The following is a 25,589-nucleotide window of genomic DNA, read 5'->3' on the forward strand; positions in this document are numbered from 1 at the left end:
TCCCTGCTACTTGTGGGGCTGAGGTGGGAGGATTGCTTGATCCTGGGAGGTTGAGGCTGCAGTGAGCTCCAGCCTGGGCGACAGAGTGAAACTCTGGCTCAGAAACAACAACAACAAAATACCCACAAGAAAAACCTAAACCTGTGATTTCCAGTGTTTGGTTTTTATGGAATAATGGAACTAAGAAAAATGTTTTAAATAGATAAGGTTGTTCTTGGTTAATATTACAGAAGAATAATTTTTAAAAAGCAGCTACCTGTTGATTGTTGCCATCATTTTATGAAACCATTTTAATAACAAAAGGTAGAAGATAATGTTAGAATTCAGGACAGTTATTCTTCAGCAAGGACCATTAGCAGTTCTGTACCCTTACGCGTGGATGTGTGCACAACACATGCACACTAGACCTTTCTTAGGTTTCTCATTTTTCAGGGGGGCCACTGGAAACCTTTTGTAGACCCTGTTAGTCCCCTAGTGGATGCTGGGGACCCCTCCCTGCTTTAAAACACTGGCAAAAATCATCATATATATTAAAACATGGATATTTGGCCGGGCGCGGTGGCTCACGCCTGTAATCCCAGCACTTTGGGAGGCTGAGGTGGGCGGATCATGAGGTCAGGAGATGGAGACCATCCTGGCCAACACGGTGAAACCCCATCTCTACTAAAAATACAAAAATTAGCCGGGTGTGGTGGCACGTGCCTGTAATCCCAGCTACTTGGGAGGCTGAGGCAGGAGAATTGCTAGAACCCGGGAGTCGGAGGTTGCAGTGAGCTGAGATCACACCGCTGCATTCCAGCCTGGTGACAGAGGGAGACTCCGTCTCAAAAAAAAAAAAAAAGATGTTTTCAGTTGCATGAATTTGTTTTCTTATTTTTTCCCAGATACGTTAAAGGAAAAGAGATCTAGTGAAGTCAATTTCAGATCTCTGACATTGGTTATTCATGTTTGTGGTTTTAACCTCTTGAAGTCAGTTACAGCATTTCAGCCAAAGCTGGCATGTTGGATAGTTTCTCAACTTAGCCTTGGTAAAATCACTAATTCAAGTGTTTATTTAGTGAAATAGTTGGTCAGAAAAATGGAATATTTTAAAAAGAAGTGTAATTTTTTACAAGTACATGAAATACTCAAACTATGCTTAATCTGATTTTTAGTGACTGGCTTAATGCATATAAAAACAAAGTATATATCATAGAGTACCAGGTCAGCCAGAGGAAGCTTATAATTTCTGAGAGTATTGCCAGGTTTGTGCTTGGATATTCTACAGAAAACCCTTCATCATTTGTATTATTTCTGTCATCTGAATCAATAAGAATGATTTAGAATAAACATATTTTATTATTAATATTTAATGAGTAGTACTTCTGAGTGTTACTTGAAATCATTTCACTCTTTTAAGGTTTAGAAAACATATCCTTCTACATCCCCCCACCCCTGCTCTGCACGTACTAGTCAGCACACTCTTAATAACTGCCTAAGTAATGCTGGCCAGTGAGTTCAAATGTTAAGCCCAACTTCACACCATTTAGATCATCTTATATTAATTCTGAGGCCTCCTGCCTTCCTGACCTCTGCAGTTAGCATGCCTGACAAAGTATGAGAAATGTCTGGTTTGCTTTGGAGTCACAGTGAATTCTGACTTAGTGAGGGAGGCCATCTTCATTTCTAAGCCATGTTTCTCCTGCATGGGGAGTTTTAGGAAAATAGAGTTCCATCTGTTATAGTGTGAAAAAAAGTTAATATTGTAGGTGTCTCATTTAATAACTAAACTTTGAGTAGCACCCTATTTATGTTGCACAAAAGTGAAAACTAAGGTCAAGAGAGATTAAATAACTTCCATGAGATTACATAGCAAGGAAGCAGAATGTCCATCAGGAAAACCAGTTTAGAAAAATAATTTACATAGTGCTCTTCTGATCACAGAAGTGTTTTGATAGTTGCAGATTCATCTTGACTTCACTTCCAAGTCCCGGAAGCTGGGCTAGAGCCAGGAAGTCAGCAACTCTTGGCCATTTTCTTTTAAATGTATTAAATCATTCATCTAAACGTTTGGTGACTGAATTCCCACAAAATATGAAGCATTAATGCAACCTGCTTTCCTCATGTCCATAGTTAATGTGTGAAGAAGGAATGTGCACTCTTTTAAACCCATTTCATGCCATCCTGGATTTGGGAAGGATGGCCAGTCATGTGGGGACTTTGTGGCCTCTTCCCTTGTGCACCTCGGGTTCAAGCCCCAGTTCTGCGCAATTGCAGCCAGAGAGTGGAAAGAGCCAGCCTGATGATGATGGTGATGCTAACGTGCTTGCTCTGCGGCAGGCATTGTGCTCAGTGGTTCTGCGTGTTATTTTAATCGAATCCTCACAACAGGCCTGAGCCGTCGGTATGTTAATAACCCTGTTTTGTAGATTAAAAAATTAAAACCTGGTAATAATGAAAGCTCCCAATGCTTGAAGAGCGCTTCTATGTGACAAACACTTTTCAAACACTTAACATATATTAACTCATTTAAACGTCAGAGCAGCACTGATGTGTAGTTATTATTGTCATTACCTTATAGATGACGAAAGTGAAGCCCAGAGAGGCTAGGTGACCTGCCAGAGTTGGCACAGCCAGTCAGTGATGGAGGTGGAACTCTGTCATGGTGTGTCTGCGCCTTAAAGCCACACTCTTGGTCTTTCTCCCAGGTCAGTAGTACAGTGAGTAGAAGAGTAATGGTTGGCCGAGGCCAGTCCCTAGTGTCTCCATACCCCCTGGAAATAAGTTTCATGGACTTCCTATTTTATAATGGGCAATCAGAAAAAAAACACAGGGACTGATGAAGAACCTGTTCATTTGAGAATTTCAGGTGTGTAAACACTGTTCTGCGTGGTTTTTTTTTTACATGAAAGTATTTTATGTATTTGTATATTTTGAAAAAACTTCCCTTAGCTCTCATGTCAGAGACACATACTGAAAGACAGACCTCTATTAAATCATGATGTTTGGCTCCTTACCACTATAATCCAGATGGACAAATTACCATGTTTCCATAAAAAGCGTTGGAGACAGCCTAAACCATTTTCAATCTTGGAAATGATACCTCATTTATACTTTAATATTTAAAGCTCTAATAAAAGCTGGAGTTATTTGTATAAATTACTGTCTGTGAAAATAATACCTAACAGCCGGCATATGTCACTGTAAGAATAATGTCTTTTTACACTTGGAGTTTTCCCCCTACACCCAGTTCACCAGTTTCTAATTAGAATTAAGTTTAAATGTTAAAAAATCAAAAGACCAAGAATTTTCCATTCATGTAATGCAAACTCTAAATAATAGGTTTTTTCATTTTACTGCTATACAACCGGAAAATGCTTAACAAGAATCCTGCTATTTTATTAGATAGTGGTTTGAAGCTTCACTTCTCTGCTGCTGAAAAAGATACTCTTAAAGTTTCAAACTGTGGTCACTGTTTGGACAGTAAAAAAAAAATGTGGCATTTCTTACACATTAGGCTCTGGGTCAGAATCGTGATAGTCTTCCAATTGCAGAAAAATAGAATTTAATATGTGTACAATGGGGCTTTACTGTATTAGGATGTGTACCCGTGTGTTTTGTTGTTGTTGTTGTTTTTTGAGATGGAGTCTCGCTCTGTCGCCCAGGCGGAATGCAGTGGCGTGATCTCGGCTCACTGCAAGCTCCGCCTCCTGGTGGGTTCATGCCATTCTCCTGCCTCAGCCTCCCGAGTAGCTGGGACTACAGGTGCCCGCCACCGCGCCCAGCTAATTTTTTGTATTTTTTTTTTTTTAGTAGAGACAGGGTTTCACCGTGTTAGCCAGGATGGTCTCGGTCTCCTGACCTCGTGATCCGCCCACCTCGGCCTCCCAAAGTGCTGAGATTATAGGCGTGAGCCATCGCGCCCAGCCCGTGTGTTTAGAATAATACACTTTTCAGGTATTGAGCCTGTTCCGATTTTACTTACTAGTTGTGCTACCTCAAATTGTGTGTTCTCTTTTTGACAGATGAGACTCTTAATATTGAAACGATGCATTCCAGATTGAAATCTAGGCATATAATAAGCAGAATTCAAAAACACTGTATTTTGAACAAATTTTAGACTTTAAAAAAAGTTGCAAAAATACTACAAGAGTTCCCCTATACTGTAACCCTGTTTCCCTTAATGTTGACATCTTGCATAACTCGTAATGCGATGATCAAAACCAGGAGGTTTGCACTGGCACAGCACTGTTAACTGACTTACAGACCTTATTCAAATAATTGCTGCAGTTTTTCCACTAATGTCCTTTTCCTGTTCCGGGATCCTGTCCAGGCGCCTGCATTGCATTTACTTGTCATTTCTGCTTAGTCTTCTCAGATCTGTTGCAGTCCCCGGTCTTTCCTGATCAGCACCCTCAAATGTCTCATTGTGGATGAGATTAATGTAGGTGTCTGATGTGTGTCTCTGCTCTCAAGTAATTGTTTTCCCTTTTGTAGCTAATATCTTTGGGGAGATACCTTGAAAGGATACTGAGAACAGAATTTTTTTTTTTCACTTCGTTCAGTTTAGTAAATCTTTGGTGAAGGTTCATGAACATAAATTTGTTCTAATTTGTGAACCTTGAAGTACTTCAGCGCTTGAACAAATATGAATGAAAATAATATATAGGATTTTCGTATCTTTTAACAGATGGTCCTTTTTTACTGACTTTTCCTTAAAAAAGGTTTTTGAACAAGAGCGTCGTACCTTTCGCTATCAGTAGTTTGCTAGTGGTAACTAGATGCCTCGAAGGCCTGCTTCATTCCGCGTTTATTAGAACTAGAACTGTGTTACATTGCCTTCGCAGGGTGAAACTTGAATACTCGTGTGTCTCATAAAGCCGGATTCCTTTCAAAGAGACCTGATTCTTCCACTAGTGGGATCAAACCATGTTCATGGGAAGATGCTCCCTCTATGGCAGGCACCTTCAGAAGCCCTGCAGCCAGATTTGATCCTGGAATAGTAGCTTCAATGAGGGCAGAGATAACTGGGTGTGCACGTTTGCTTTGGAGTGAGAGGACTGCCTGGTCCTGAGGGCTTTGTGAAGGGAGGTAGGCTTAGATGAGCCCAGGAGTTGCATCACTTGAGGTGATTAAAGGCCCTGATTTAAAGTAGGTTGAGACTTAGATTTATTTAGATTTACATATTTATTTCCTTAAGCCATTTCAGGTTTTCGACCAAGTTACTAGAAGCACTTTTTACCAAGTTGAATTTCTGTCCTTGGATTGCTAAACTGTTCCCCAAGCCAAATTAATAAAATGGAATTTCTTATTAAGAATGAATTATTAAGCAAAATGGAAGTGCTGGGCTAGGGAAGCAGTTGATGCAATTTGTTTTCCAAGCCTTAAAAGTGCTGCAGTATGCATAGATCACAAGGACTGGCTTCAGTGCCAACACATGGGGCATTAATTTTTTTGGTAGAGGATTCCAGGTTTACAGGATATCAGAAGTGCTGACTTGGCAGCAAAATCCCATTTGTAACATGTTAGATTAGGAAACAGATTGATTTATATGTTGATGTAATGGATCAAGGCACAGTCTGTGCTTAAGGAAATGGACAGCACATTAAATAAGGGCATTTTCAAGGTAGAAGTACAAACATTACAGAAAAAATTAGCCTTTTACACCCTAGGTAGGGTTGGGGTATGTTTGATTAGTTGACTCCTAAAACATGGTCCACAGAGGCTTTTTATATTTCCGATGATACCTTCTTGAGAGTCTCTTAAGACCACAAGGATTAATCTTTCTGAACTCAAAAGTGAATCACTACAGCATATTAGCTGTCTGGATTGATTCCAGTTTCTCTGCTTTTTCTTGGTGGTAACTGATGTGAGGATCTGTTGGTGCTTAGCTGCCTCTTCCTGTTGCTTTAACCTCTGGTATTTTAAGATTCTCTTTAGGGAAGATAGTACTGACCATCTCAGCACAGAGCCGAAATGCACTTAGCGCTGATGTGTTGACCTTAGTGGTTGACCCATAAACTGAACATTTATACAGTTGGAACTCTTGCGGTCTTTTAGCCAACAACCATAATGAGTAACATGTGGAACATAATCTTTGGTGCTGATAAATGGCTTTTTACGATGAAATTGACCATTCCACGCTGTGGCTTGGGTGACCTCATGTAACTAATTACTGTTTCTTAGCTATATTCACTTTTGGAATTTAAGGGGTAAATGGTTTCTCCTTCTGCAGGCTGAACTGCTGACAGATTAAATACCACCTGAAATCTGATTTGTTTAGTAGCTGTCTTTAATGTAAAAATATAGAAGGCCAGAGGGAATCTAGGAAACACTGCTCAGAAGCTTTCAGACTTAACTATAGGAGTTCATTCGTAGCAGGTTTAGGAAGCACATTCCTTCCGACCTGTAGATTGGGCTTTTCATATACGTATTTATCATGTCTTCTTGGATTTTCTTCATTTAATTCTATCTGAACTTTCGAAGTGGGAAGCAAAGGATTCGGGGGAGAGCACTGGTTTCAGTACACGAAAATATCCCTGGGGTTTCCTTACCTTTATCTTTGGATATCCCCATTTTTCTCGACACACAATCCAAGTTTCTAGCCATAATCCTTAGATTACAAAAGAACAGGACTTTTGGTACACATCTTTTTTTTTTTTTTTTTTTTTTTTTTTGAGACAGATTCTCTGTCTCTGTTGCCCAGTCTGGAGTGCAGTGGCGCAATCTCGGCTTCACTGCAACCTCTGCCTCCTGGGTTCAAGCGATTCTAGTGTCTCAGCCTCCCAAGTAGCTAGGACCATAGGCACGCGCCCCCATGCCTGGCTAATTTTTGTATTTTTAGTAGAGACAGGGTTTCACCATGTTGGCCAGGCTGGTCTCGAGCTCCTGACCTCAGATATCCACCTGCCTCAGCCTCCCAAAGTGCTGGGATTACAGGTGTGAGCCACCGTGCCGGGCTTGGTATGCATCTTGAACTAAGTGTGAAGATTAAGCACATCTGTCTTGTGCATCCTTTATACCTTTTAATGATTTGTTTGAATTAAGCACCACTAGAGTATTACCTATGAATAGGTGTGTGTTCCTTCCTACACATATCTTTAGGTGTTTTTTCCTTCTTTGGGGGAAGCAGGAACTCATATTAGTCTGTAGCTTCACGTGCATTCATACTGAAGGCATAGGGCCTTCTACTTTAATAAATGAATATTCGTTCCAGCAGGGTAAAGTCAATTCTAGTTAATAAAGGTGCTAATTGTTTGTTGGGTTTAACTGAGGTGTTTTTCAGCCCTGATAGATATTGGCAACATTTTAATTCCAAATTAGCTTTCTCCCAGCTGTCCAACAAGGGTTGGTGCTTCCTTCTCTTATACTAGTAGAAAGCAGGTTCATTTTAATAAGCTTCGAAGCAAAACATATGTCAGATGGTAAATTGGTCCTGGAAAAAGACCATAATATATTTCACAATCAAATTTAAGTTACTGATTAGAAGGATTGTTCATGTCTGTGTAGTTCATCAGCATAAATAAATTAAAGTTTCCTAGAAAATCATACATTTTCCACATATTTTAAAAGTCAGCTAGGCGTAGTATCTCATGCTTAGGATCCCAGTCCTTTGGGAGGTCAAGGCAGAAGGATCACTTGAGCCCAAGAGTTTGAGACCAGCGTGGGCAACACAATGAGACCCCATCTCTACCAAAATATAAATACGTGTATACTGGGTGTGATGGCGCATGCCTGTGGTCCCTGCTACTCAGGAGATTAAGGCTGGAGGATGGCTTGAGCCCAGGGGGTCGAGACTGTAATGAGCTGAGATTGCCCCATTGCACTCCACGTGGGTGACAGAGCAAGACCCTGTCTCAAAAAAAAAAGGGTGGGGGCATCAAAGCTACCCTTTCTTGTTAGTAGGAAAACCATGTCATGTATATGCTGTTTTTGAAAAGAACAACATGGTAGACCATATAATCTAACCCTCCTCCTCTACAAGTTTTAACTTAAGAACTGTTATTTGTTTATTTATTTTAATTTTGAAGAAAGTTTTGCAGTTGGGGACTCTTATGGCTATAACCACGAGTAATGGATGTTTTTAGAGAGATGCCTGTGCTTGTCTCTCTCTTTCTCTCTCTCTCTCCCTGTCTTTCTGTCTGCTTTTTTTTTTTTTTTTTTTGAGATGGAGTTTCGCTCTTGTTGCCCAGGCTGGAGTGCAATGGTGTGATCTCTGCTCACCGCAACATCTGCCTCCCGGGTCCAGGCAGTTCTCCTGCCTCAGCCTCCTGAGTAGCTGGGACTACAGGCATGTGCCACCACACCCGGCTAATTTTGTATTTTTAGTAGAGATGGGGTTTGTCCATGTTGGTCAGTCTGGTCTCGAACTCCCGACCTCAGGTGATCTGCCTGCCTTGGCCTCCCAAAGTGCTGAGATTACAGATGTGAGCCCCCACGCCCGGCCGATGCCTGTGCTTTTCTCGTGCATGTCTGCAGGAGCCTTGCTGTTGTAATGTTACTTCTCAGCTATAGCTTCTGAGCTGTTAATGGTTAGACTGCACATAAAAGGATATGGGCCAAAGACAGATCTTATGGAATAGTTGATTATTTTTACCCAACATGAGAGAAAATTGTTCATGAAATCCCCTTTAGTGTTCTGTGTTTATGAATGATGCCATCACATTTTGAATCATGGGAGCCAAACTTGAACCTTCCTCTTCCTCATCCCTCATATCAGTTATCACACCTAGGCCTATTTTAGGCTCTGTGGTTTCTTGAATCTCTCTATCCACCACTCCACCTTAGCCCAAGCTACCATTTATTCCTCTCTTGGAATGTGCACCTCCAGTGTCCTGAATGATTTCCCTGCATACACTCATTTCCTTTCAGTCGGTTCTTCACCGTGCAACTAGAGAAAGCATCAGAGCTTTGTTATGAAAATAGTAACTTTCTGCTTAAAGCCTCTCAACACTTCAGTGGTAAGGACTGAAGTCCTTTCTTGGTCTGCAGACTCTTGTCCCGGCATGCCTCTCCCACCATCTCTCTGCCTCAAAATCAACATTGCCTCCATATGGGATGCTTAAAGCGCTACTCAGCTGTCACTCTCTTTAGGAAGCTTCCTTGATCAGCTTCCTACCCAAGCTTAGGTCAGATTCCTTTTTTTTTTTGAGATTTGAGTCTTGCTCTCTTGCCTAGGCTGGAGTGCAATTGTGCAATCTCGGCTCACTGCAACCTCTGCCTCCCGGGTTCAAGCAGTTTTCCTGCCTCAGCCCCCTGAGTAGCTGTGATTACCGGCATCCGCCACCACGCCTGGCTAATTTGTGTATTTTTAGTAGGGACGGGGTTTTGCCATGTTGGACAGGCTGGTCTCGAACTCTCGACCTCGTGATCTGCCTGCCTTGGCCTCCCAAAATGGTAGGATTACAGGTGTGAGCCACCGCGCCCGGCCCAGATTCCTTTTTTATGTGCTTTCTCAACACTGTGTTCTTTTCCTTCTTAAGACATTTGGGAATGTGGTCACACTTTTTGTGAGTTTTAACTCTTGCATTAGAGCCCCAAGAAAGCAGGTCATGACTTTTTTGCCCACTCTTATATCCTAAACACTTAGCATGTTGCTTTGCGAAATAGTAGTTGCTCAGAAAATTTTCTTTTGTGGGTAAATTAAGTAAAATTATTGGAATTTTAGTAATTCTCCACTTTCATGATTTGGTGTGTGCAAAGGATTAGAAAGTAGATTAGCTTTTACGAGGACAGACTGCAGTTGGATTATATGTTCTAAAGTTAGAAGTATCCCAGATGGGGATTGAGGGTTAGATTTTTCCTTTGCCTAAGTCTCAGGATACAAAATCAATGTGCAAAAATCACAAGCATTCCTATACACCAATAACAGACAGAGAGCCAAATCGTGAGTGAACTCCCATTCACAATTGCTTCAAAGAGAACAAAATACCTGGGAATCCAACTTACAAGGGATGTGAAGGACCTCTTCAAGGAGAACTAGAAACCACTGCTCAATGAAATAAAAGAGGACACAAACAAATGGAAGAACATTCCATGCTCATGGATAGGAAGAATCAATATTGTGAAAATGGCCATACTGCCCAAGGTAATTTGTAGATTCAGTGCCATCCCCATCAAGCTACCAATGACTTTCTTCACAGAATTGGAAAAAACTACTTTAAAGTTCATATGGAACCAAAAAAGAGCCCGCGTTGCCAAGTCAATCCTAAGCCAAAAGAACAAAGCTGGAGGCATCACGCTACCTGACTTCAAACTATACTTCAATGCTACAGTAAGCAAAACAGCATGGTACTGGTACCAAAGCAGAAATACAGACCGATGGAACAGAACAGAGCCCTCAGAAATAACACCACACATCTAAAACCATCTGATCTTTGACAAACCTGACAAAAACAAGAAATTGGGAAAGGATTCCCTATTTAATAAATGGTGCTGGGAAAACTGGCTAGCCATATGTAGAAAGCTGAAACTGGATTCCTTCCTTACACCTTATACAAAAATTAATTCAAGATGGATTAAAGACTTAAATGTTAGACTTAAAACCATAAAAACCCCAGAAGAAAACCTAGGCAATACCATTCAGGACATAGGCATGGGCAAGGACTTCATGTCTAAAACACCAAAAGCAATGGCAACCAAAGCCAAAATTGACAAATGGGATCTAATTAAACTAAAGAGCTTCTGCACAGCAAAAGAAACTACCATCAGAGTGAACAGGCAACCTTGGGAGAAAATTTTTACAGTCTACCCATCTGACAAAGGGCTAATATCCAGAATCTACAAATAACTTAAACAAATTTACAAGAAAAAATCAACCCCATCAACAAGTGGGCTAAGGATATGAACAGACACTTCTCAAAAGAAGACATTTATGCAGCCAACAGACACATGAAGAAATGCTCATCATCACTGGCCATCAGAGAAATGCAAATCAAAACCACAATGAGATACCATCTCATACCAGTTAGAATGGCAGTCATTAAAAAGTCAGGAAACAACAGGTGCTGGAGAGGATGTGGAGAAATAGGAACACTTTTACACTGTTGGTGGGACTCTAAACTAGTTCAACCATTGTAGAAGACAGTGTGGTGATTCCTCAAGGATCTAGAACTAGAAATACCATTTGGCCCAGCCATCCCATTACTCGGTATGTACCCAATGGATTATAAATCATGCTGCTATAAAGACACATGCACACATATGTTCATTGCAGCACTATTCACAATAGCAAAGACTTGGAACCAACCCAAATGTCCATCAATGATAGACTGGATTAAGGAGATGGCACATACCATGGAATACTATGCAGCCATAAAAAGGTTGAGTTCATGTCCTTTGTAGGGACCTGGATGAAGCTGGAAAGCATCATTCTGAGCAAACTATCGCAAGGACAGAAGACCAAACACCGCATGTTCTCACTCATAGGTGGGAATTGAACAATGAGAACACTTGGACACAGGGTGGGGAACATCACACACTGGGGCCTGTCGTGGGGTGGGGAGAGGGGGGAGGGATAGCATTAGGAGATATACCTAATGTAAATGACAAGTTAATGGGTGCAGCACACCAACATGGCACATGTCTACCTGTGTAACAAACCTGCACGTTGTGCACATGTTCCCTAGAACTTAAAATATAATAAATAAAATAAATAAAAAAGTTTTTTCCTTTGCCTTTCACTTTGATCATACACATCCAGAAGTCACTTTTTATTCTGTTCTAGCTCCTGGGAAAAGGATTTGTTTGTGAAGATACAAATAGTAAATAATTAAGGTTTTTAAAAGATGCATTCTGTCACATAGACCTGAATGACTGTTGCCTCTGTGCTAGCCTTCTTGGAGTAAACCTGCAATTTTTTTCCCTTTGGTAGGCTCTTGCAGCCAATGCCGGAACAGGATTTGCTGTTGCTGAGCCTCAAATCGCAATGTTTTGTGGGAAGTTAAATATGCATGTGAACATTCAGACTGGGAAATGGGAACCTGATCCAACAGGCACCAAGAGCTGCTTTGAAACAAAAGAAGAAGTTCTTCAGTACTGTCAGGAGGTAAGAGTGTTGCCAGTAAGTTGAAAGTGTTATTTTTCTGGGGCAGGGTTGAATCTGTTTACCTTAGAAATAGATATTCTGTCATTCTCTTTTGACCTAAGACCAAGATGCTAATGACTGGAGCCCCAAGCCTTTTGTTTCTAAATGTGTGGCATGACTGAGACCTCTCAAAGGCTTTGCCTGCGTGTTCTGTGAGCTCTCAGTTCTTTAAGGAAGGGATACTGCAGAAGCCTGGCAAGTGCCATGGGAGTGCAGCCTGCTTCTCATCCTCCCACTTGTCTTGGAAGATGGAAAACAAAACATGTCTCCTTACTGACAGAAAGCCACCAGTATTGTAAAGGATCATCTCAGGTCTGATTCAACTCTGTGTTAAAGAGAAAATGATAGGAGATGTTATAACTTGTATTTATTTTTTCTGATAGAGACAGGGTCTTGCTACATTGGCCAGGGTACTCTCAAACTCCTGGCCTCAAGCCATCCTCCCCAGCCTCCCAAAGTGCTGGGATTATAGGCATCAGCCACCACTTCTTACCAAGATGAGCAGACAGGGCCAGGGTCAAGTTCTGTAATTTCATTGACAGATGTTTCCATAGACTTGCCTCACGGAGCCATCAGTTCAACAGCTACCCTACAAGCAAACTTGACATCTCATGAATTTGTTTTGGGCTAAAAGCGTGCTGCTTTTGTTTGTCCTTAAATACATATCCCTTTTGAAAACAGAATGCGTGGAAGTGTTCAGAAATCTAACCTGTCAAAACTAATACAGTATCTTTTTGTTTGATGACTTCAGTTAGAGCCAGGGATAATGGAGTGGAACTTTAGATGTATGTAGGATAAGGGTGGAGGCTGAATAAACTTAGACACTCCATCCTTACTTGCAAGTGTGTGTCTGTCTGCAGATTGATTTATTGTGTGTGTGTTTGTTTTCTTAACAGATGTATCCAGAGCTACAGATCACAAATGTGATGGAGGCAAACCAGCGGGTTAGTATTGACAACTGGTGCCGGAGGGACAAAAAGCAATGCAAGAGTCGCTTTGTTACACCTTTCAAGTGTCTCGGTGAGTGTTCTTGGTTACTTTTCAGGAAGTGCCAGCCCCCTCCCATTTTAAATTTAATTTTCTCTTGGCTCACAGTGAAATATTTACACCTGTTAAGAAGCTGAGTGTGACATGAATTTATTGGGGAGGATTTCTCTTAGGGGTGTTTGCTGGCTTCGAGTGTCAGTGGTTGACCTCCTCTCAGTGATGGCTAACTCTGCCTTCCCATTGTAGACATCCTTCCTCAGGACTGAATAAGGGTGCTACCCACAGAGCAATTGCACTTACGCCCTCACATTGTTTGATATCAGTGGTTTATGGTGATAGTGCTGAGTAGTATTAAAGCAAGCAGCCCCAGGAGAAGAGTCTTCTGTTTCCCTTACTTTCATCCCACACACGTTTGCACCATTTGACCAAATTTCTGCTAGTTTTCAGGAGAAAGAAAAGTGACTTATGGCAGCCTGTGGACAGTCAAGGGTACCGGGGCCAGGGCTTATAGGACCTGCCATTCTGAAGGGTTTGGGGCTGGTAGGGGTGTTCGTGACTCTGTGTTGCTGGTGTCAACATTCAGAGCCAATTTGAGTAAAACGGTAACTGTTTGTTATGCAGAAACAGAGTTGTTGCTTCAAATGCTCAGGGAATATATTCATTTTAACTATTTGTGCCTGATACATTGGAATTACACTCACATATCTGTGGTCTGGTGATTCAGGAACAGATTTGGTCACAGAAACTTCAAAGGGCAAAAAAAAATCAATTTTAGATTAGCCCTGATGGGATTAAAGTAGATACAGCATTAATGTAGACATCCTGAGTGGTTCTGTAGCTATATGTAATTGGAACTATTAACTTATTCTCCTCTCTCCCTTCTGTAAAACCTTTCCTTCTGCTTCTGATGGCAGCAAAATGGAATGTGATACTTTTTCTCATTCTCACGTGTAGCCAAGCCACAGGAAGAAGCGGTGCCCCTGAACAACAGTGTTTAAAATGTGTGGCAGTTAACTTTCTTTTAAAATATTCGTGAGGAGCAAGAGGGGCGTCATGTGTGCTTACCACCGTTTACTTTAAACCTGGGCATCTCAAGGCTGGGAGGCTTGTTAAAAATGTTGTGTGGTGTGGTTTAAGGACGCTTTCTGTTCTGTTTGGCTCTGAGAAATCTCTAGGTATGAGGCTTCATTTGCTCGTTAAAAAAGTTCTCAAACTAAAAGTGAAATGAGATTATCCTGGAATATTTGTAGACAGTGGATAGAAAGTGCTTGAAATCGTTCCTTCTGCATTGCTCCCCCTAAAGACTTTGCAGCCTGATTATCTCCTCTTGTTTGTCCTTGTCACCTTCCAGCTTCACTCCCCACCCAGACATCTGAGTGGGACCTGGGAGACTCTTCGATTCTTTTGTTATCCTTTATCTCCCTGTATGCGGTCAGTTTCTGAGCCAGCCTCATACTTACTTCTTAAATAGGCTTATAGTCATGATTTTCAAACTGTGCGCCGAGGCACCTCGGGGCATTGAAGCAAAACTCACAGGGCATTCCGGGATGTTTCTGATTTTTCAAGGGAAATGTAATGACATCTGTCAGGCATTCTGCAAACTACTAGCTGGAAGTAATTTACAGTTTCATCATGACATCATTTCATTTATTTTGATGACTTCATATCTCTGTGAAGCTGTTTTTAGTTATTCCTGTGATAAAAAGCAAGTATCTTTTGAAAATCGCTGAAAAAGAAATGAGGGTGATGGTGTTCAGTCTGATTGCAGTTGGGGGAGATGTGCAGGGCCCACTGGGCACTAAGGTGACAGGACACAGTACTTATTAAGTTGTTGGGTCTAAGGTGACAGGACACAGTACTTATTAAGTTGTTGGGTCTAACTACTTAACTTTTCGGTACTTTTTTTAGCCTAGGAATCCTGTGAAAAAGTTCCTAAGACACTCAGGGTGCTGTGAGTCGAAAATGTGGTTATCGCTGGCTTGTGTCCTCTTCCTGCATCAGATTCCCACTGCCCTAGCTCAGCCTGTGGTCAGTTCTTGTCTGGGCCGAGAGCAGCCTCCATGCTGTTTCTCAGTGCTGGCTGTCCAATCTGTTGCCTGCAGATTGAAAATGAAGACCAAATCATGTCTCTCATGCACAAAATCTTAAAAAAGAATGTTGAAACTCCTTAGCGTGGCTTCAAAACTCCATGATCTGGCCCTTGCTCAACTCTCCCCTGTTCTCTGTGATGTCATGCTTTAGGTTTTATCAGCATCGACCACCCCAGGGTGGTCGTGCACCATCCAGCTCTCAGCATTTGGAATGGCTTTCCTCTGCTGACTTTGCTTGGGAAGTTCTTCCTGCAAGGCTTACCTCAGGAGTTGCCTCCTTTAAAGGGAGCCTTTCCTGGTCTTATTTTCTATCCATTCATCCAGGTTTCTGTAATACTCCTTGCTGTTGCCATCGCACTTATCACACTGTACCATGATTGTTCATAGACCTTTCTCCAACTATGCTGTGAACACCTTGCCAGCAGCGACCCTGTTTTAGTCTTTTTTGTCAACCTCAGCACCATGGTAGTGCCTAGAATATCGGATATACTGTTTACGATAATTACAACACAAAAATACTACTATAGTTGGTACACAACAGAAATTTTATTTTATTGCTTTATTTCCCAAATGATAGAGTTTAAATTTGTTAGCATGTTACAGAACCAAGCAATAGTATTGTCGTTAATGAAATGCATAAAAGACAGTTTAACCATAATCCATTTGGTACCTTCTTTGCATTGTGGTCACTGAATAAAGCATTATACAATCTTTGGTGTTACTTCAGACGGTTATTCATGTTTACCCCAGCATCCATTTGGACAACTTAGTAACCAGTCGGTAGAGCTATCCATTGATATTTTTACATAAGCACAGTTGCCTGAGCCTAAACGAATAAGGGGTGACATGACTGGAGTTTAAGGGAGGGAGTAGGAAAGACATATTGCAGTTCTCCCTTATCAGTTAGATTTTGATGTCTCCCTGCCCCTTCCGCTGTCACCTCCACTTCGAGCACCCAGGCAGAACTGACATCATTCAGTTAATAATGGCCACCACCTTTTCCCCCCATAGACTCCTTAGAAAGCCTTTTGATGATAGTCTTTTAGAGTTGCTATTGCTTTTTTAAATTAAAAAATAATAGTTTAAAAATAATTTCAAATTTACAGAATGGTTACAAAAATGGCACAGAGTTCCTCTGTGTACCCTTCACCCAGATTTCAGATTTTCCAACTGTTAACATTTGATCAATGTGGTAAAAAATCTTATTCTCCCTTCCCAGTACCCCTCACACACATACTCGAGGTTTGTTGTTTTTTGAATCATTTGGCAATAAGGCAAACATGGTATCCTTATGCCTTAATACTACAGTGTGTATTTTTAAAAAGCAAGGAAATTCTCCTACGTAACCGTGGTATAATCATCAAAAATCAAGATTTTGTAGACAATATCTAGTTGATCCAATATCTCATCTACAGACCCTACTCAGGTTTCACCTGTTGTTCTAATAACATCCAGGATCTAATCTAAGATTACATGTTGCATATTTCCTTGTCCTTTGTGACATTGATTTTTTTTTTTTTAACTACAGACCAGTTCCTTTATAGAAAAGTTTTCAATTAGCAGTGATCACGCCTCCGATAAACCTCACTGGCTACGATACTGCCACTGCACAAAGCTCAGTTCCTTTATAGAATGCCTTGCAATTTGTGTTTTTCTGTGATCCTTTTGATTTATTCATTTTTGAGGGGAGTATCACAGAAGGGTTCTCACTGCATCATAGCAGGAGTAGTGCGATACCAGTTTGTTTCATCACCTGGCTAAGATGGTATCTACATTCATTTGTCTTACTATGTACACATTGTCTGCATTTGGCCAGTGGGGGCCCCGTTATGCTGGTTCCTGTGTCCTTATAACATGTCCCTATCATTCTTTGAGAACTTTACTTTCTGATACAAAAGATTCTCCAAGTCCATTCTGTATTTTCCCTACTCCACTCCTGGAGTCTGTTTTCTCTGAGACACCATGGTTTCTTTTAGTGGGGAATGCTATTTTGAAACCCAGATCTGGGCCTTAGGTGATTTGTTTTTTGTTTTTGGTTATTTTTGGACAGAGATTTGGACAGGTAGTGTTATTGCGATATGAAAACTACTAAAGTTCTGATTTAATATCTACTTTGAAAACAAAACTGGTCTCGGCAGCTTTGAGGTGCTGTCTTCTGCATTTGTACCTTGGTCTGTTGGCATAGCTCACTTTTCCATTGCAGGTGTCCTTTTGCAAGTCTTCTAGCCTTTGAGTTCATGACAGCCACTGACAGTTCACCCTGTTCCTGGTGTGGACCCCTGTGCAAGGTGAATGTTCCACTCTCGAGAGGTAGCGTGGATCCTTCACTTCTCTGAACCCTGTTTTCCCTGAAACATACCTGGGGTGACCACCAGACCTCATTACATAAGGCTGTTTTCTCCCACCTGGGTACAGCTTTTACCAGCTCCCTAAATTACATGGTTTTCCTGTTTGCACCTGGAGTGTACTTTTGTAGTATATTTATTATTATTTTTTTAATTTTTAATTTTTGTGGGTATATAGTAGGTGTCTGTATTTATGGAGTACACGAGATATTTTGATACAGGCATATAGTGTGTAATAGTCATGTCAGGGTATGTAGTAGATTTACTTATATGCATGGGTGTTGGTGTTGGAGGCTTCCTCAAGTAGGTAAACAACCTTTGTTATTTATTCTGAAAGGAATTTCAGCAACTCTGAAAAAGCTCTAAAACCTGGATGGCTGCCATAGCACTGCTGGAGAGAAGTAGTAGGAAAGAAAAGCTGAATCACAGGGATGATTAGAAATTGGCGATAAATCCTAACTGCAGCTTAAATGAATATTGTATAGGTTAGGTTTTGCTATATTGCCATATTCATTGATCAGCAAAAACAGTAGAGCTTTATGTTTGTCCAGTGACTTAGGAAATTGTGGCAATTATATTATACTCCGCTGATAAAATTGAGGATGTTACCAGCTTGAATATAAATTACTAAAGTGAGAGCAAACCATTTTCAATGTTCTGTAAAACAGAGTAATACTGATCTGCCTAGGTAAATTTTTTTCCCTAGGAGCTTCTGATGAAAAATTGTAGCAAAGGCAGAGAGTAGCAATGAAATGATAGAGCGGATGCTGGGATTGAAATGTGTTTCCTCTTTCAGTCTACTTTTTAAAAAGGGGTTTATTTTTCAATAAAAGAAGTTTGCATTGGGGGAAGGGGACAAAAACAATTATTTTCAGTTTCTGTACTAAGTTAACTGTGATTAACATTTTGGGGTATAGATGAACATTTTTTTCTTTGGATACACATGGAAATGTATATACTTTTAAATGTTTTTTCCCTAACTGTGATGATACAACGTATGCTCCTCTGTTTAAAGTTCTGTTTATTTTTATTTGGCATTTATTGAGCTTTTATTATCATGTGCTACTTTTAGGGATACATACATCTTTGAATAAAAGATAAGGTTGGGAGAAAAAAAAAAGATAAAGTTGGCCTTAAGTAACTAGCCTGAAGAAGGGGTTAGAGATACGCAGTGGGTTTCCTTTTGTTTGTTTGTTCAATGATTTTAAAAATTATTAAACCACCATGGAAAAATGTCCATGTTAAATATACACATAAGCCATATTTCTTGTAACCCCATACTATTCTGTTGTATATATGTATCATCATTTAATTAATTCCCTCTCGATGGACATTTAGGTTTGTTCTAGTTTTTTGATATTAATAACACTAATGAATATTTTAATTCACTTGCCTAGTTATTTCCTTAGGGTGTGTATCTTTTTCTTTTTTTCTTTTTCTTTTTAAGACAGGGTCGCCGTCACCCAGGCTGGAGTGCAGTGGCGCGATCTTGGCTGACTGCGGCCTTGGTCCTGCGTGTCCCCCTTTCCACCCTGCAGCTGAGATTACAGGCATTCGCCACCACGCCTGGCTCATTTTTACTATTTCTAGTAGAGATGGGGTTTCCCCATGTTGGCCAGGCTGGTCTTGAACTCCTAACCTCAAGTGATCCACCTGCCTCAGCCTCATAAAGTGCTGGGATTACAGGCATGAGCCCCTGCGTCCAGACATCCTTAGGGTATCTTTTTAGAACTGGAATTGTTGAATCAAAGAGTACTGTTAAAAGATATATATATATATTTTTAGGCCAGGCCTGGTGGCTTATGCCTGTAATCACAGCACTTTGGGAGGCTGGGATGGGAGGATCATTTGAGATCAGGAGTTCAAGACCAGCCTGACCAACACGGTGAAACCCCGTCTCTACTAAAAATAGTAAAAATTAGCTGGGTGTGGTGGCGAACGCCTGTAATGTCAGTTACTCAGGAGGCTGAAGCAGAAGAATTGCTTGAACCTGGGAGGCAGAGGATGCAGTGAGCCAAGATTGTGCCACTGTACTCCAGCCTGGGTGATGGTGTGAGACTCCATCTTAAAAAAAAAAGTTAAATTTTAGAATTTAGTTTGTTTTCAAATTCAGTGGTGTTCTTTTTTGATTTTTAGAGATCGAACAGATTGATTCAGTCATGGAATAGCTGAAGATTAGTGGCATTTAATTTTATGGTTTAGCATGGAATTAATTATTTTATTAAATTTTTGGCATTTCCGAAAAGGTTTTGATTTTAAACTTTAATTCTGAAATATTACACCAAGCATCCTGAAGAGATGAGACATAATGTGATGGTTGCTCATATGCTCACCCTCCTGATTTCAGTTCTTCAGTGTTCTGTCATGTTTGCTTCATCTCCATCTTTTTTTTTTTCTGAGACGGAGTCTCTTGCCCAGGCTGGAGTGCAGTGGCATGATCTCGGCTCACTGCAACCTCAGCCTCCTGAGTAGCTGGAATTACAGGTGCATGCCACCATGCCTGGCTAATTTTTGTATTTTTAGTAGAGGTGGGGTGTCACCATGCTGGCCAGGCTGGTCTCAGTTCTTTTGCAACATTTACATGCATCTATAAACAATGTTTTTGTGTTTTAAAATTTACATTAATGGCATCATACTGTACCTGACCTTTTACAGCTTGCTTTTACTTTACATCATTTTTTAGTTTATCCAAGGTGTTGTATAGATTGAGTTAAAGGTTGTATTTCTGACCAGGCGCAGTGGCTCACGCCTGTAATCCCAACACTTGGGGAGGCCGAGGCCGGGGTGGATCACAAGGTCAGTAGATCGAGACCATCCTGGCTAACATGGTGAAAACCCGTCTCTCTACTAAAAATACAAAAAAATTAGACGGGCGTGGTGGCACGTGCCTGTAGTCCCAGCTACTTGGGAGGCTGAGGCAGGAGAATCACTTGAACCCGGGAGGCAGAGTTTGTAGTGAGCTGAGATTGCGCCACTGCACTCCAGCCTGGGCAGCAGAGCGAGACTCCATCTCAAAAAAAAAAAAAAAAATAGTTGTTGTGTTTCTATAGAATATAGATTAGTAGTGAAATTGCTGCTTTAAATTTTTTTGATGTTGCAGTTGCACATTTAAAAGTGAGGTTTTACAAATTAAAGTGCATTAACTGTTGCTTAAATATACATTGCTTTATGAGTATGGTTGAATAGTTCGTATAAAACTAGTTCCTCAAGACTTCACTAACATTAACATCAATAGTGCCTACCAGGTGTCAGTTTCTGTTTTTATTTTAAACAACAAACCCACATGTGGAACAATAGTTTCTGTTCTAAGCTTTTCTTGTTGTATAGATTATGTCATTTAGTCCCCACAAGATAAAGAAACCGAGGGACAGAAAGGTTAAGTAACTTGGCTAAGGTTACTCTGCTAGTAAATGACAGTGCTGAGATTGAACCCTAGCATTCAACCCTGCATATACTTTTCCTTTAGCATCCACTTTTGTTGCTTTTTGTCATAAATGAACAAAAACAGCCTAGTTAATTCAGAATAATCACATTAAACCATGTGAGTTGGTGGTTGGATGTCAGAATTGAAGTAATTTCTACTTAGATTGAGTATCAGGGTTGTTCATTCTCGTAGAGGCAGATTCTAGCTTACTGTTGGTATTTTTGCTATTTTTAAGCAATGCTTTTAAGTCTCGTTGATTGCTAAAGCCTGTTTGCAGGTACTGCCTCCCCTAGAGCCTTTGGGGTCCTCAAGGGTAAGCAGCATGTCAGGCTCACTTTCGCAATCCTGCTTCAGTGTCACATTGAGCTGTGTGATCCCAAAGTCCCTGTGCTAGCAGTGCTGAGAAACCTGACTGCCATTTGTAATGCAGTTTTCATGTGGGGGGACTGTTACACTGCTACAGCTTGTCATGTCAGGAGCCCATCTTCCCCTACTTACACATCAGCAACTCCCTTTCTCTTACCACTGGGGCGGTAGAAAGACTGACTTCAGTGCTTGCGCCCGAGGCCCAAGGCAGAGGATCCTGAGAGACTCATCCATGATGGCGAGGCTGGGTGGGTCTGTGTAGACTTCCCACTAGCTGGGCCCTAAGCCCTTTCTTAGACCACATTACTTTCTCATGATATTTTCAGGGTTTTCCCCCCTTAACCTCAGAGGTTAGTCTGCCAGCTGCATCTTCCTGCCACTGCTTCCTGCATCTCTTCCTGGGCTAAGCACCCTTCTCGCCCTCTCTTCCTCTCCCTCTACACTGTGTGGAGCACATGGCAGACGTATGCCCAGTGTAGATTACTGAGCCTTACCTTACACTACTGATCAGAGTCTTGGGGTGATCATCCAGTGATGTGTTGTATATTTCTAACTTTTTATTGTGGCAAATTACAAACATGGCCAAACAAGAGACGATGATACCGTTCACCCTCACGTACTGGTTGCCCAGCTTTGTAACCACCATCAGTTCATGAGCCACTCTTCCACCTTCTATAGGCCCACTCCCTCACAACCCTGATTATTTGGAAACAAATCACATACCATCTTTTCCCTGTAAATAAACAGCTATGTGTATCTTTCTCCCGACTTTTTGGGACAAGTTTTAGAAAATGTAATAGTGAATATCTCTGTACCCTTTACCTAGATTCTCCAGTTTTACCTGATGTTTTTCTCTCTCTGCATCTTATATGTATATTTTTGTGTTGCTAAACCATTTGAAAGTAAGTTGGGATATCACGACAGTTCATTTCTAAGTATTTCAGCTGGTTTCTCCTAAGAGCCAGGGACATTCTTCTATATATAATGACAATACAGTTGTCATGTTTGGAAATTTTCCTAAGTGTCCAACTAGTGTTTTTTATAGCTTCCTTTTTAAAAGGATCACATACTACATTTCATCTAGGATAGTTCCCTAGTCTTTCTTTAGAAACAAAAACTTTCATGACAATGATATTTTTTAAGAGTCCATGCCATTTGTTTAATGTAATGTCCCTGAGTTTGGATTTGTCTTAGTGTTTTAGCATGATTAGATTCAAATGATAATATATTTTGGCAGAAATACTGTGTAGGTGATATATTATTTTTAGGACATCACACACACCAGTTTGCTCGTTATCAGTGGTGTTAAATTGGTTATCTGGCTGAGGTAGTTTGCCAAGGCTTCCCACCGTAAAGACACCTTTGCCCCTTTGTAATTAATCATTGATTATTCTTACTGGATTCAATTATTACATCATGTTTTGTCTAAAGATTCATCTGTACTTGAGTAGAACACCTGGTTTTAGTTTCTTGGGCATTTGATTACAGAGGTGTGGGCAGGAATAAGGAAGGCAGAGCCATGTGGGGAGAGTAGCTGTGTGTGTCTGAGGCGGGCATGGAGGTGATCCTATTATATTCCCCGTCACGTGTTGCTGTAGCCCTGCAGTGGGACTGCAGTCAGGGGGCTTTTAAAAGGTCCCTGGCATCATGGCTCTGACAGATTGGTGAGTTCTTGTGGCTGCTTGGCTAGAACTGTACCATCCAGTCAGCCTTTGAAGGTACGAGATGTGCATCTGCTCGTATACATGAGACTGCTCCTGGCTGTGTAGACTATCATCATAAACTTCAGTGAGGGGCATTTTCACCTTGAAATCATGGTCAGATCCGCTCTGACAAAGATTCTCTTTTCCAGTGGGTGAATTTGTAAGTGATGTCCTGCTAGTTCCAGAAAAGTGCCAGTTTTTCCACAAAGAGCGGATGGAGGTGTGTGAGAATCACCAGCACTGGCACACGGTAGTCAAAGAGGTAAGAGAACTCGGGGGGAAAGTCAGCTGCTGTTGTATCTGTTAGGAGGGAAGTAGCACTTTTCTCCAAATCTCACCATGCTTTTAAGTTAGTTATGTTTCCCCCATTATCTCCTTAAGGTTTACAATTACTTCTGTCTTATAAGTTAGAAATATTTGGGAGAGAAGTAGGTATTTGTGTAGGAGAGCTCAGTGTTGACAGTCAGCTCCTGAAGTTGAGGATGTTAAGGAGGTGGCTGAGCGAGAATACTGTATGCTGCTGGTGAGGCTCCCAGGAAACCATCCTAACCCTAAGGCCGGCATGGAAATCGCCAGTGATAGAAAATATAGGTCTGGACATATGCACAGGCAGGACTGCATGCCATCTCACTTTTCTGGTGGCAAGAAGTACCCTTTCTTGTCTTCTGTAATTAGGCTGGCTCTGCTCTTTGGTCAGTAATCTTCCTTTGGTCAAATACTGAAGTAGTGCTTGCACCAGTGGTGAGTATCTATTAACATTGACCACCTTATCTGGCTTTAGTCATTATTAGAAAAAAATGCTCTCTTCCTGACTTTTTTCCACATTTGGGATTTCAGTATTTTTGGACCAGATCATGTTTCCCCATTGTAAATTAAAATTTATAAATCTTACAATAATATTATTACAATTTTTTTTTGACAGAAAATGTATGTGTTCATAAGAGAAAGCATTGCTAAGTGATTTGATAAGGGTTTATTTTGGAGGGTAGAGATCGGAGTGTATTTGACCACGTTTACTCTGGAGTATGTTCTGATGTGGCCTGTGGGTTTCTTTTAGGCATGTCTGACTCAGGGAATGACCTTATATAGCTACGGCATGCTGCTCCCATGTGGGGTAGACCAGTTCCATGGCACTGAATATGTGTGCTGCCCTCAGACAAAGATTATTGGATCTGTGTCAAAAGAAGAGGAAGAGGAAGATGAAGAGGAAGAGGAAGAGGAAGATGAAGAGGAAGACTATGATGTTTATAAAAGGTAACTCTTCTACTTTGAACTGTGAAGTCGTTTTGCCTTTTTGTTAGCCCTTCTGTAAAGACGGCTGTTGGCTGCTAGTCCCTCACTTCTGGATAAACTGGGCATTCCTTTGTTCTGCTAGAGTTGATTAAGCTTGCATTTCATTCTAGCCATTGCCAATCACAGGAGTACCTGTGATTTTTGTGTTTACATCATTCTGAGCTGTTATTTTCTGCAGGTTACTATGATATTTTTTAAGAGTCCGTGTCATTTGTTTAACATAATATCCCTGAATTTGGATTTGTCTTATTGTTGTATCATGATTAGATTCAAATGTTCACAAATACTTCCCGTTTGCTGATGTAGCTGGGCCCCAGGGCTTAGTGGCACGGTGAAATGTGCGTTGAGCTTATTTCCTGCCTCTGTTTTTGTGTTTCAGAATAGAGAAGGGACCCATTGTTGTGCTTTGCACATAGGAGCTATTAACCTTCCTTTTTTTCTATTTTGGCCTTCAGTGAATTTCCTACTGAAGCAGATCTGGAAGACTTCACAGAAGCAGCTGTGGATGAGGATGATGAGGATGAGGAAGAAGGGGAGGAAGTGGTGGAGGACCGAGATTACTACTATGACACCTTCAAAGGAGATGACTACAATGAGGAGAATCCTACTGAACCCGGCAGCGACGGCACCATGTCAGACAAGGAAATTACTCATGATGTCAAAGGTAACCCCATGTAGAGCCATGGCTTTGAAATCCATGTGGTAATTATTCACTTAGACTTTTGCATTGCGTCTGTCACAGGTAAGTCAGTCACAGAAGGAAAGGTGTGGTACCTCTGCACTGAAGGTGAGTTCAGCTCTCCAGTGCAGTGATGGGATGGTGCCGTCTTAACAAAGTGGGCAGGCAGGCACATCCAGGGAGAGATGTAGGATTGAATTAGAGAACGGGGACTAGAGAGTAAGAGAGACAACGTAGTCCGCCCTTCAGCAGGATTCTTCCACATTCATCCTAAAATGTTCCCTCCCCAAGGGGAGCTCCCCTCTTCGATACCACTCAAGTTCTGGCCTCCTAGAATAGAAATGGTTTTCTTGGTTTTTCTTTTCCTGCTTGTCTTCTAATCTGTAGGCTGCCCTATTTGTCCAGATGTTTTAGTTGGGAGGGTGAAATTTATTGACCTGCTGGTAACAGATTGGGGCCTGCAGTTTTTTTTTTTTCTCATCTTGCCAATTAAAACACGAAAAGGTTGCAGTAGTTCCAGAGCCATTAACATGCAGCCTCCTGCTGATCGTATATTTGAAACCAATTAAGATGCGAAGAATTATTTAGGACCCAAGTTGGGGGAAATTACTTAACCAGTTGAGAAGTTTGTGATTTGC

At 41.1% G+C, this 25,589-nt stretch overlaps 1 protein-coding gene and 1 pseudogene across 39 annotated transcripts in view, besides 2 other annotated features; one reads left to right on the forward strand and one right to left on the reverse strand.

Annotated features, from left to right (window-relative positions):
- Window positions 1-25,589, forward strand: part of APLP2 (amyloid beta precursor like protein 2) — a 74,912-nt gene that overhangs the window by 27,684 nt on the left and 21,639 nt on the right. For 15 of the 39 annotated variants that reach the window (NR_168391.1, NR_168388.1, NM_001642.3 and 12 more), the window contains exons 2-6: window positions 11,852-12,025; window positions 12,961-13,084; window positions 23,129-23,241; window positions 24,037-24,233; window positions 24,728-24,936. Coding sequence is in view for 30 of the 39 variants with exons in the window: in NM_001642.3 (NP_001633.1) it covers window positions 11,852-12,025; window positions 12,961-13,084; window positions 23,129-23,241; window positions 24,037-24,233; window positions 24,728-24,936 (817 nt within the window). In the remaining 9 variants the exon portion in view is untranslated. Of the gene's footprint in view, window positions 1-11,851; window positions 12,041-12,960; window positions 13,085-23,128; window positions 23,242-24,036; window positions 24,234-24,727; window positions 24,937-25,589 lie in introns of all 39 variants that reach the window. The other 24 variants (NM_001382538.1, NM_001382541.1, NM_001382543.1 and 21 more) reach the window with 12 other exon arrangements.
- Window positions 8,604-8,804: a silencer, noted in NCBI's record as "peak1513 fragment used in MPRA reporter construct". NCBI's record gives its function as "represses an SCP1 promoter by STARR-seq MPRAs in K562 erythroleukemia cells {active_cell/tissue: K562}" and the evidence as "EXISTENCE:reporter gene assay evidence [ECO:0000049][PMID:32103011]".
- Window positions 16,590-16,758, reverse strand: LOC124902850 (uncharacterized; annotated as a pseudogene).
- Window positions 21,313-21,392: an enhancer, noted in NCBI's record as "active region_5750". NCBI's record gives its function as "activates an Ori minimal core promoter by ATAC-STARR-seq in GM12878 lymphoblastoid cells {active_cell/tissue: GM12878}" and the evidence as "EXISTENCE:reporter gene assay evidence [ECO:0000049][PMID:35858748]".

The sequence above is a fragment of the Homo sapiens genome, chromosome 11 (genome assembly GCF_000001405.40).
Source record: "Homo sapiens chromosome 11, GRCh38.p14 Primary Assembly".
NCBI classification, from domain to species: domain Eukaryota; kingdom Metazoa; phylum Chordata; class Mammalia; order Primates; family Hominidae; genus Homo; species Homo sapiens.